Source organism: Homo sapiens, chromosome 5 (genome assembly GCF_000001405.40).
Source record: "Homo sapiens chromosome 5, GRCh38.p14 Primary Assembly".
NCBI lineage: Eukaryota > Metazoa > Chordata > Mammalia > Primates > Hominidae > Homo > Homo sapiens.
In genome coordinates, this window is record NC_000005.10 from 102,130,365 (window position 1) to 102,144,128 (window position 13,764).

Genomic DNA, 13,764 nt, shown 5'->3' on the forward strand with positions numbered 1-13,764 from the left:
AAAGATGAAGAGTAGTGTGAGCATACAACATGGAAAGGCATACTAATGGCTTCTTGAATCATTCATTACTCCAATGAGTGGGATTCAAGCCACGTTTCGACTGCGAGTTGGTGTAATACATTCCTTTAGTTAAAATAATTTTTTAATCAGGTCTATTCTGGGAGCTTAAAAATCTCCATCATAAACTTCTCCAGATTTTGTAAAAAATGCTCAGCTTGAATCATCAGAGAAAAATGAGCATCCTGCCTAGTCACCAAGAAATTAAACTTGAAATGGTGTAAGCAGCTTGGGAAGTAATTTGACTGATTCGGATTTTGTAGCAATTTATCCAGAATGACGTAGATCCATGCCTAAAACTCACCAAGGTGATAAAGCTAAATAGGATTTCATGTTTAACTCTCTTAAATTACACATACAGCATTCATAAAATGTACCCTTTCTTGTTGGTTTGTTCTTCCACTTTAGTTCCTATCAATCCTATGGTGGTGGTGTTTCTCTCTCTCTCCCCTCTCCCCCACTCTTTATAAGAATAGAACTTCCCCATGACTTAAAAAAACTCCTCATTTGACCTAATTCTATTATCTTTTCCAAAACTTCCCCATACTTCAAACCCTCTTTACATCTGTGAGTAAATGCATCATTAGCACCTGAATTAACCCTTCCCTCCCAGATGCGTATAGACTCTCCTTTCCCATCCAACTACTAACCAGGCCCAACCCTACTTAACTTCTGAGATCAGACAGGATCTGGGGCATTCAGGGTGGTATAGCCGTAGACTCTCCTTTCCGTTGCTGTCTTCTTTAGTTGTTCTTCCTTTTTAAAACTAAAACTTCACTTCTTTATTTCTTTATATTCAATTTCTTACATTATCAATTGTTTGCATTTTTATTCAAAGATGCTGATGTTTGAAACTGGAATGAAGTGTTACCTGTCTCATTGCTGGGTCAGTCTTAATGGAAACTTCCTTAGAAGTTATAGAAATAAGTACCAGAGAGGGAGGAGCCAAGATGGCCGAATAGGAACAGCTCCGGTCTACAGCTCCCAGCGTGAGCGACGCAGAAGACAGGTGATTTCTGCATTTCCATCTGAGGTACCGGGTTCATCTCACTAGGGAGTGCCAGACAGTGGGCGCAGGCCAGTGTGTGTGCGCACCGTGCGCGAGCCGAAGCAGGGCGAGGCATTGCCTCACCTGGGAAGCGCAAGGGGTCAGGGAGTTCCCTTTCCGAGTCAAAGAAAGGGGTGATGGACGCACCTGGAAAATCGGGTCACTCCCACCCGAATATTGCGCTTTTCAGACCGGCTTAAGAAATGGCGCACCACGAGACTATATCCCACACCTGGCTCAGAGGGTCCTACGCCCACGGAATCTCGCTGATTGCTAGCACAGCAGTCTGAGATCAAACTGCAAGGCAGCAACCAGGCTGGGGGAGGGGCGCCCGCCATTGCCCAGGCTTGCTTAGGTAAACAAAGCAGCAGGGAAGCTCCAACTGGGTGGAGCCCACCACAGCTCAAGGAGGCCTGCCTGCCTCTGTAGGCTCCACCTCTGGGGGCAGGGCACAGACAAACAAAAAGACAGCAGTAACCTCTGCAGGCTTAAGTGTCCCTGTCCGACAGCTTTGAAGAGAGCAGTGGTTCTCCCAGCACGCAGCTGGAGATCTGAGAACGGGCAGACTGCCTCCTCAAGTGGGTCCCTGACCCCTGACCCCCGAGCAGCCTAACTGGGAGGCACCCCCCAGCAGGGGCACACTGACACCTCACACGGCAGGGTATTCCAACAGACCTGCAGCTGAGGGTCCTGTCTGTTAGAAGGAAAACTAACAACCAGAAAGGACATCTACACCGAAAACCCATCTGTACATCACCATCATCAAAGACCAAAAGTAGATAAAACCACAAAGATGGGGAAAAAACAGAACAGAAAAACTGGAAACCCTAAAACGCAGAGCGCCTCTCCTCCTCCAAAGGAACGCAGTTCCTCACCAGCAACAGAACAAAGCTGGATGGAGAATGATTTTGACGAGCTGAGAGAAGAAGGCTTCAGACGATCAAATTACTCTGAGCTACGGGAGGACATTCAAACCAAAGGCAAAGAAGTTGAAAACTTTGAAAAAAATTTAGAAGAATGTATAACTAGAATAACCAATACAGAGAAGTGCTTAAAGGAGCTGATGGAGCTGAAAACCAAGGCTCGAGAACTACGTGAAGAATGCAGAAGCCTCAGGAGCCGATGCGATCAACTGGAAGAAAGGGTATCAGCAATGGAAGATGAAATGAATGAAATGAAGCGAGAAGGGAAGTTTAGAGAAAAAAGAATAAAAAGAAATGAGCAAAGCCTCCAAGAAATATGGGACTATGTGAAAAGACCAAATCTACGTCTGATTGGTGTACCTGAAAGTGATGTGGAGAATGGAACCAAGTTGGAAAACACTCTGCAGGATATTATCCAGGAGAACTTCCCCAATCTAGCAAGGCAGGCCAACGTTCAGATTCAGGAAATACAGAGAACGCCACAAAGATACTCCTCGAGAAGAGCAACTCCAAGACACATAATTGTCAGATTCACCAAAGTTGAAATGAAGGAAAAAATGTTAAGGGCAGCCAGAGAGAAAGGTCGGGTTACCCTCAAAGGAAAGCCCATCAGACTAACAGCGGATCTCTCGGCAGAAACCCTACAAGCCAGAAGAGAGTGGGGGCCAATATTCAACATTCTTAAAGAAAAGAATTTTCAACCCAGAATTTCATATCCAGCCAAACTAAGCTTCATAAGTGAAGGAGAAATAAAATACTTTATAGACAAGCAAATGCTGAGAGATTTTGTCACCACCAGGCCTGCCCTAAAAGAGCTCCTGAAGGAAGCGCTAAACATGGAAAGGAACAACTGGTACCAGCCGCTGCAAAATCATGCCAAAATGTAAAGACCATCGAGACTAGGAAGAAACTGCATCAACTAATGAGCAAAATCACCAGCTAACATCATAATGACAGGATCAAATTCACACATAACAATATTAACTTTAAATATAAATGGACTAAATTCTGCAATTAAAAGACACAGACTGGCAAGTTGGATAAAGAGTCAAGACCCATCAGTGTGCTGTATTCAGGAAACCCATCTCACGTGCAGAGACACACATAGGCTCAAAATAAAAGGATGGAGGAAGATCTACCAAGCCAATGGAAAACAAAAAAAGGCAGGGGTTGCAATCCTAGTCTCTGATAAAACAGACTTTAAACCAACAAAGATCAAAAGAGACAAAGAAGGCCATTACATAATGGTAAAGGGATCAATTCAACAAGAGGAGCTAACTATCCTAAATATTTATGCACCCAATACAGGAGCACCCAGATTCATAAAGCAAGTCCTCAGTGACCTACAAAGAGACTTAGACTCCCACAAATTAATAATGGGAGACTTTAACACCCCACTGTCAACATTAGACAGATCAACCAGACAGAAAGTCAACAAGGATACCCAGGAATTGAACTCAGCTCTGCACCAAGCGGACCTAATAGACATCTACAGAACTCTCCACCCCAAATCAACAGAATATATATTTTTTTCAGCACCACACCACACCTATTCCAAAATTGACCACATACTTGGAAGTAAAGCTCTCCTCAGCAAATGTAAAAGAACAGAAATTATAACAAACTATCTCTCAGACCACAGTGCAATCAAACTAGAACTCAGGATTAAGAATCTCACTCAAAGCCGCTCAACTACATGGAAACTGAACAACCTCCTCCTGAATGACTACTGGGTACATAACGAAATGAAGGCAGAAATAAAGATGTTCTTTGAAACCAACGAGAACAAAGACACCACATACCAGAATCTCTGGGACGCATTCAAAGCAGTGTGTAGAGGGAAATTTATAGCACTAAATGCCTACAAGAGAAAGCAGGAAAGATCCAAAATTGACACCCTAAAATCACAATTAAAAGAACTAGAAAAGCAAGAGCAAACACATTCAAAAGCTAGCAGAAGGCAAGAAATAACTAAAATCAGAGCAGAACTGAAGGAAATAGAGACAGAAAAAACCCTTCAAAAAATCAATGAATCCAGGAGCTGGTTTTTTGAAAGGATCAACAAAATTGATAGACCGCTAGCAAGACTAATAAAGAAAAAAAGAGAGAAGAATCAAATAGACGCAATAAAAAATGATAAAGGGGATATCACCACCGATCCCACAGAAATACAAACTACCATCAGAGAATATTACAAACACCTCTACGCAAATAAACTAGAAAATCTAGAAGAAATGGATACATTCCTTGACACATACACTCTCCCAAGACTAAACCAGGAAGAAGTTGAATCTCTGAATAGACCAATAACAGGCTCTGAAATTGTGGCAATAATCAATAGTTTACCAACCAAAAAGAGTCCAGGACCAGATGGATTCACAGCCGAATTCTACCAGAGGTACAAGGAGGAACTGGTACCATTCCTTCTGAAACTATTCCAATCAATAGAAAAAGAGGGAATCCTCCCTAACTCATTTTATGAGGCCAGCATCATTCTGATACCAAAGCCTGGCAGAGACACAACCAAAAAAGAGAATTTTAGACCAATATCCTTGATGAACATTGATGCAAAAATCCTCAATAAAATACTGGCAAACCGAATCCAGCAGCACATCAAAAAGCTTATCCACCATGATCAAGTGGGCTTCATCCCTGGGATGCAAGGCTGGTTCAATATACGCAAATCAATAAATGTAATCCAGCATATAAACAGAGCCAAAGACAAAAACCACATGATTATCTCAATAGATGCAGAAAAAGCCTGTGACAAAAATCAACAGCCCTTCATCCTAAAAACTCTCAATAAATTAGGTATTGATGGGACGTATTTCAAAATAATAAGAGCTATCTATGACAAACCCACAGCCAATATCATACTGAATGGGCAAAAACTGGAAGCATTCCCTTTGAAAACTGGCACAAGACAGGGATGCCCTCTCTCACCGCTCCTATTCAACATAGTGTTGGAAGTTCTGGCCAGGGCAATCAGGCAGGAGAAGGAAATAAAGGGTATTCAATTAGGAAAAGAGGAAGTCAAATTGTCCCTGTTTGCAGACGACATGATTGTTTATCTAGAAAACCCCATCGTCTCAGCCCAAAATCTCCTTCAGCTGATAAGCAACTTCAGCAAAGTCTCAGGATACAAAATCAATGTACAAAAATCACAAGCATTCTTATACACCAACAACAGACAAACAGAGAGCCAAATCATGGGTGAACTCCCATTCACAATTGCTTCAAAGAGAATAAAATACCTAGGAATCCAACTTACAAGGGATGTGAAGGACCTCTTCAAGGAGAACTACAAACCACTGCTCAAGGAAATAAAAGAGGACACAAACAAATGGAAGAACATTCCATGCTCATGGGTAGGAAGAATCAATATCGTGAAAATGGCCATACTGCCTAAGGTAATTTACAGATTCAATGCCATCCCCATCAAGCTACCAATGACTTTCTTCACAGAATTGGAAAAAAATACTTTAAAGTTCATATGGAACCAAAAAAGAGCCCGCATTGCCAAGTCAATCCTAAGCCAAAAGAACAAAGCTGGAGGCATCACACTACCTGACTTCAAACTATACTACAAGGCTACAGTAACCAAAACAGCATGGTACTGGTACCAAAACAGAGATATAGATCAATGGAACAGAACAGAGCCCTCAGAAATAATGCCGCATATCTACAACTATCTGATCTTTGACAAACCTGAGAAAAACAAGCAATGGGGAAAGGATTCCCTATTTAATAAATGGTGCTGGGAAAACTGGCTAGCCATATGTAGAAAGCTGAAACTGGATCCCTTCCTTACACCTTATACAAAAATCAATTCAAGATGGATTAAAGATTTAAACGTTAAACCTAAAACCATAAAAACCCTAGAAGAAAACCTAGGCATTACCATTCAGGACATAGGCGTGGGCAAGGACTTCATGTCCAAAACACCAAAAGCAATGGCAACAAAAGACAAAATTGACAAATCGGATCTAATTAAACTAAAGAGCTTCTGCACAGCAAAAGAAACTACCATCAGAGTGAACAGGCAACCTACAACATGGGAGAAAATTTTCGCAACCTACTCATCTGACAAAGGGCTAATATCCAGAATCTACAATGAACTCAAACAAATTTACAAGAAAAAAACAAACAACCCCATCAAAAAGTGGGCGAAGGACATGAACAGACACTTCTCAAAAGAAGACATTTATGCAGCCAAAAAACACATGAAGAAATGCTCATCATCACTGGCCATCAGAGAAATGCAAATCAAAACCACTATGAGATATCATCTCACACCAGTTAGAATGGCAATCATTAAAAAGTCAGGAAACAACAGGTGCTGGAGAGGATGTGGAGAAATAGGAACACTTTTACACTGTTGGTGGGACTGTAAACTAGTTCAACCATTGTGGAAGTCAGTGTGGCGATTCCTCAGGGATCTAGAACTAGAAATACCATTTGACCCAGCCATCCCATTACTGGGTATATACCCAAAGGACTATAAATCATGCTGCTATAAAGACACATGCACACGTATGTTTATTGCGGCACTATTCACAATAGCAAAGACTTGGAACCAACCCAAATGTCCAACAATGATAGACTGGATTAAGAAAATGTGGCACATATACACCATGGAATACTATGTAGCCATAAAAAATGATGAGTTCATGTTCTTTGTAGGGACATGGATGAAATTGGAAACCATCATTCTCAGTAAACTATCGCAAGAACAAAAAACCAAACACCGCATATTCTCACTCATAGGTGGGAATTGAACAATGAGATCACATGGACACAGGAAGGGGAATATCACACTCTGGGGACTGTGGTGGGGTCGGGGGAGGGGGGAGGGATAGCATTGGGAGATATACCTAATGATAGATGACACGTTGGTGGGTGCAGCGCACCAGCATGGCACATGTATACATATGTAACTAACCTGCACAATGTGCACATGTACCCTAAAACTTAGAGTATAATAAAAAAAAAATAAAAAAAAAAATAAAGAACAGCAAAAAAAAAAAAAAAAAAAAAAAGAAATAAGTACCAGAAGAGAAGGTAGCAGGGTGGAGATAAAGACTAGTGGCTCAGTTTACTTTGGGTGATCAATGGATACCACATATATTTCGCACAAACAAAACAATTTCAACCTTTTTATTACACTAATGAAATAAAATTATTCAGAAGGCATAGCACTGACTTATTATGCTATGGTGCTTCAAATTCAACATACAAAAAATCCTGTGATCAAGGGGAGCATCACACACGGGGGCCTGTTGTGGGGTGGGGGGAGGGGGGAGGGATAGCATTAGGAGATATACCTAAGGCTAAATGACGAGTTAATGGGTGCAGCACACCAACATGGCACATGTATACATGTGTAACAAACCTGCATGTTGTGCACATGTACCCGAAAACTTAAAGTATAATAATAAAAAAAAAATCCTGTGATCATAATATTACCAGTTTATTGAGACCAGGAAATGGATTTATTTTTCTACAAACCCTGTCTTCAAACATACCCTGTTCAATCTTCATTCCTATTCCTCTGGCAACATTTTGTTCATACCACATGATTTCTGAGCCACTTTCAGGGAACAAAATCCATGTGCAGCAAGTAATATTCACCTTCAGGTACTAAAAAAGCATTCATCCTAAATCAAAACTTTAATCTCATTTTCAATTCAAAACTTTCTTCTCCCACTGCAGGCCTAACCTATTGCTCAAAATCTACAGTGGAAGAGATAAAATCCATTTCTTCACTTCTACTTGACTTTTTTCCCTTTTATTTTCTGGCTTTTCTATAGCTATTAAAGTTTAAAGAATTGGGGTGAAATGTTATATTTACATTTCTCTCTTCATGACTGACATTGGATGGCCTCCAAGGTCCATCTGCATAGTGGGTATAAAAATGTGGGATTCTTCGGGAGGTAGAGCTTGCAGTGAGCCGAGATAGCACCACTGCACTCCAGCCTGGGCAACAGAGCAAAACTCTGTCACAAAAAAAAAAAAAAAAAATGTGGGATTCTTTTGTGCAGCATTGATAGCATTCCATGGAGGCCCTGGGAGGACTTTGGCCCTTCACGTTCCCTAGATGCAAGCCATGTACACTGGCTGCAGTCTTGTACGCCATTCCTGCTTGGTTTATGTTTGCAAAGAACACAGCCTTTTACTTTTGGATTCTCATTGTCCCAGCAGGTACAATATTGCTCAATTTACAATGTTTGCTGGTGAGAGTAAAGGGCAGGGGTAGCTTTTGTAAAACTTATATTTTGGGTTCGAGGGTATATGTGAAGGTTTGTTACATAGGTAAACTCGTGTCACAGGTGTTTGTTGTACAGATTATGTCATCACCCAGGTATTAAGCCCAGTACCCAATAGTGATCTTTTCTGCTCCTCTCCCTTCTCCCACCCTCCCCACTCAAGCAGACCCCAATGTCTGTTTTTCCCTTCTTTGTGTTGGTAAGTTCTCATCATTTAGCTCCCACTTATAAGTGAGCACATGCAGTATTTGGTTTTCTGTTCCTGCATTAGTTTGCTAAGGACATACTTTCCTATTTTTAAAACCTCATGGAAGTTCTTTTTTTTTATTAATGTCTGTGATTCCTCCATGTAACTAAAGTATATTATAGATGAAAAAGTGATACTCCCCAAAACACTGGAATATTCTAAAGAAGTAAATCATTGCAATAAATATCTGTGTAGTTGATCAGACTCAGCCTCCTTTCCTTTCTCATCAAAGCATTTTATTAACGTTTGTTTGCAAGACATCTCGAAATATGATTGAAGTCTTCAACTCTTTATCATCTAAATCTTTCCTTCCAGCATTCTGAGAATGCTAACAATCTCAATGAGTAAATGAATGAGTAATGAGTAAGCAGGAGTAAATGGTATATTGCCTGACAGCATAACTTTTACAGATTTGGCCAAGCTGACTACTGAAAGAAATAATGTCCCCAACCAGAAACAATTTTTTTTATTTTAAATGCTAAAAAAAATGAACCACCAAAACTATGCTATTATCTTTATTAAAAATGCAAGCCAGTTGGTACCATCAATATAGCATTGGCTATAGATGGCAGACCAGCAAAAGTTTATTTTTCACAATTTAAAATGTAAATACACAATTTTCCTATACCTAGGTAAATTTACTCTGCTGTCATTTTTGCATCTTTTACTTTATAGCAGACCAACTAAAAACCTGAATGTCAGTTCTATTCAAAATAATGGATTTGAAATTGCCAGTGACAAAAGCTGCTATTGTCACCTTCTATTTATATAGAAAAAAGTAATAGAGGGCAATAGATTTTACAGGCCTGACACTGAAGCCTTTCATCATTACAGCCTCAAAACATTGAGGAAAGCAAAAATACCAAATAATTCACACATGGGCAAACATAGGCCACAAGAAATGGAAGCAAAGTCCTTGCAAACAATTTTTTGACTCAAATTCTTCTTTACACATGCTGAAGTCTGCCTAAAGTGCAAGATGCTGCAGAACCACATCAATACACGAGTGCCATTGCATATTACTTTGAATACAATGTTAACAAATATATAGTTTAGCATATCCAATTTGTTTATAAAGGAACCTGCCTACTTCAAAAAGAAAGCTATCTTGAAGAAGGGGATGCCATCCAGAGATACCTGCAAGATGAAGCTAACATAGAGAAAACCACAGTATACAAATCTTTCTTCCCCCTACATTCCATATGGGTGAAATCAAGGTAAAACGAACATTAGACAAATTCTTGAAAGGATAACCATATGCACTCTTATACAGAGAAAAGCCACCACATATCAAGCTATTTTCAAGGCATGACACCTTTAACTCCTCCCAGTTAACTCTTCAACCTTCTGCAACATATCTGTTTTTTTGTTTTTTTTTTTTACTTTAGGTTCATGGGTACATGTGTGGGTTGGTTACATAGATAAGTTATATGTCACAGGGGTTTGGTATACAGGTTATTTTGTCATCCATGTAATAACCATCGTACCTGATAGGTAGTTTTTTTTTAATCCTCTTCTTCCTCCCTCCCTCCACCCTCAAGTAAGACCCAGTTTCTGTAGGTCCCTTCTTTGTGTCTGCATGCATTCAATGTTTAGCTCCTACTTATGAGTGAGAACATATGGTATTTGGCTTTCTGATCCTGCATTAGTTTGCATAGGATTATGGCCTCCAGCATCATCCATGTTCTCATTCATCTTTATGGTTGCATAGTATTCCATGGTGTATATGTACCACATTTCTTTATCCAGTCTTTCACTGATGGACATTCAGGTGGATTCCATGTCTTTGCTATTGTGAGTAGTGCTGCAATGAACATATGTGTGCATGTGTCTTTATGGTAGAATAATTTATATTTCTTTGAATATATGTACTCAATAATGGGATGGCTGGGCTAAATGGCACTTCTGTTTTAAGTTCTTTGAGAATTTCCCACCCTGCCTCCCTCAATAGCTGAACTAATTTACATTCCCACCAGTAGTGTATAAGCATTCCCTTTCCTCTACAACCTCACCAGCATCTGTTATTTTTTGACTTTTTAATGATAGCCATTCTGACTGTATGAGATGATATTTTACTGTAGTTTTGATTTGCATTTCTCTAATGATTAGTCATGTTAAGTATTTTTTCATATGTTTGTTGGCTGCAGGTATGTCTTATTTTCAAAAGTGTTTGTTCATATCTTTTGCCCACTTTTTAATGGTGTTTGTTTTTTTCTTGTAAATTTGTTTCACCTACTTCTGGATTCTGGATATTAGACATTTGTCAGATGCATAGTTTGCCAAAATTATCTCCATTCTGTAGATTCTCTATTTACTCTGTTGATAGTTTCTTTTGCTGCGCAACACTTTGTTAGTTTAATTACATTCCATTTGTCGATTTTTGGTTTCGAAAGCAATTGCAGTTTTTATCATGAAATCTAATTCATCATGAAGTCGAATTCTGTGAAGAAGGTCACTGATAGTTTGATAGAAATAGCATTTAACCTGTAAATCGATTTCAGCAATATGGTCATTTCCTATGCCAGTCCACATTACAAAGCAAAAAGACATGTTATGGTAACATGTTTGCTCTGGGATGTAGACCAGCATAGAAAACATCACACAGCCACCTTGCCTTTTGTCTCCCATTTCTTTGAGCTGAGAGCCCCAGCAGGATATAGAAGAGAATGATAGGGCAGAGTGATAAAGGGGTAGTAGGGATATTTATTCTCCAGCCCCCACTATGAGAAGTAACCTGAGATTAGCAGAAACCTCCAGCCCCAATGAAAGTCACAGCTTCTCTCAAGGTGGCCCCTCTGCACAAGGCTGTCTACTTCCAACTTATTGATACCACTTCCCTTCCTTATTTCTCCAAGTCAAAACTGATTATACCTGTTACCCCAGGAAACAGCCTTCTACTCTGTGATTTCCATACACACTTTACAAATGTCTCTTTTATTAAAACATTCTTAAATTATGCAATTTGGAATGTCTCATTGTTCCCTGCTAGAACTCTGGCTGAGATACATGAGGTACATAGTATTCCTGCTTCATTTCTTACCATACACAAAGTGGCTGGAATAATGCATGACAAGGGTATAGAATAGCATTCAATTTATGAATGAGTGAATGAATGAAGTCTACCTATGAGACTTATGTTTAAAGTTAACACTGAAAAGTGATATCTACTTGTATGTTTCCTCCTTTGGTGATTATCTGGGAGGGGCATTAGACTGATTATACTGGGTCTCTGCCTTAGGGGTCTCCTCCAATTTCTTACCTGGACTCTTAAAATAGGTTTAACTGATTTCTCCGTTTTTATTTTAGGCCTTCTATAGTGCATTTTCTGTATAGCAGTCAGGGTGATTTCTCTTAAAATGCGCATTTTACTCCTATAGCTCCCAAGCTCACTACAGGCTTATCCATCAAGCCCAGACTCCTGAATGTGGCATCTCTGGTACCCATCATCCTTTTTAGAGTCAACTATCAAACCCCTAACATCAACCCTGAAACCCTGTTCAACTCACACTGAACTATTTCCTTTCTTCAAATATACCATCCTTCTTTCCTATGATTTTGCACACATGCTTTTTGTTCTTTCTTTCCACATTCTTTGCTGAGATACTTCCTACACATTCTTCAAGACCCCAACAAGCATCGACTCATTTAAGAATTCATCTTCGGCTTTTTCAGGAGCCTCCGGGGCTCCCACAGCATTCCATGCTTCCACTTCTCAGGGTATTTCTCATCCTGAATTGAAATTTACTGTTTTTTCATAATCTCCTTTTAATATCTAATATATGCCTGGCACACATAAAGTTCACAATGAATACTTGCCCAATGAACAAATAAATAGCTGAATCAATGATCAACATGAGCTACTTATGGTCAACATAGTTGCTACTTGATTCAAATCCTATTCCCCAAACCTGCTAACCTGAATATCCTAATGACCCTTCACTCTGACAGTAGTCTGGCATATCCCTTCCCACAATAAAAAAAAATTCAGTAGAGTTAAGAGATGTTCTTGGGTCAAATATATCATTGAAACATATAAGGAGAAAATATTCTAAAAGTAGATTAAATGACCCAGAAAGAAAATGAGTAATAGAGTTATTAAATGACAAAGTTCAAAATTATTTGTCTTTACAACACTTTAGATGGAATAGTCCCCTATTTTATATTCCCTATAGAATTCTGACATTTGATATTTTTATGCACTCTTAAAATTTTGAATCAGTCAGATATTTCGTTTTTATTGCTATCAACATAAAGTGGCTGGCTAACATGATTGAAAATGGAATTTATTAGAAAGTTGTCAAGAAACTTAGGACATCAGTAGGAATAATCAGAGATCCAATTTGGGTAAAAGGACCAAGGTGAAGTGTGCTTTGAAGGTCAAGGATGCTAACACTGCTGAACATTCTCCCACCAGCCACCAACACTGTAATGCATGAATTCCAATTATTTTTTATTTTTTCTGTCCATTAATCATGTGCAGGGCATCTGGATATATAATCCCACTATGATTTTCACAGTGAAGGAGGCATAATTCTTTAAAAAGAAATTGAATGACATTATAAGTAGAATGGAGACTAAATGCACAAATCAGAATACAAAGCCACTATGTGAAACAGCAAATGTCCACTGAAAATAGATTTTTTAAAAGTTAGAAAATAAAAAGTAGATATATTAGTAAATAAAGGAGATAAAAATGGACTTAGATAACTTTAAATGTAGCCCATAGAAATAAAGTATGATAAAGGACTAAGAAAGCATATTTTTTAAAAATTTATTTTTAATAACAAAAATTATGTATATTTGTAGTGTACAACATGATGGTCTGATATATGTATAGATTGTGGAATGACTAAGTCAAACTAATTAACATACCTGTTACATCCCATACTTATCCATTTTTGTGGTGAAAACATTTTAAATATATAGTTAGCAATTTTCAAAGGGCCTAATTTTAAAATGTATTTTAGATTATAAAATTCCACTAATTCACGTTACTGTAACAAAATAAAAACCCCCTTTGATATTTAGATTTATTATTAAATAATTTATTTATAATATAAAATAGACCTTTTAACTTTTTAAAGGCTTTTTCATTGATTGAGGTACATTAATACTTGTTTTTCCCTTTATAGGAACAAGATGCAGTGGAAGAACACCAGCGATCCCAGGAGACGCTCAACAGAATAAACACACTTGAGACATCAAAGAAATATCATATTAAGA

General features: G+C 38.7%; 1 pseudogene, besides 1 other annotated feature; it reads right to left on the reverse strand.

Annotated features, from left to right (window-relative positions):
* RNA5SP188 (RNA, 5S ribosomal pseudogene 188) lies at positions 754-771 on the reverse strand (annotated as a pseudogene).
* Positions 1,265-1,836: an enhancer, noted in NCBI's record as "H3K27ac-H3K4me1 hESC enhancer chr5:101467333-101467904 (GRCh37/hg19 assembly coordinates)". NCBI's record gives its function as "activates a minimal SCP1, AML or CMV promoter by ChIP-STARR-seq in naive H9 embryonic stem cells {active_cell/tissue: H9 hESC(naive)}" and the evidence as "EXISTENCE:reporter gene assay evidence [ECO:0000049][PMID:30033119]".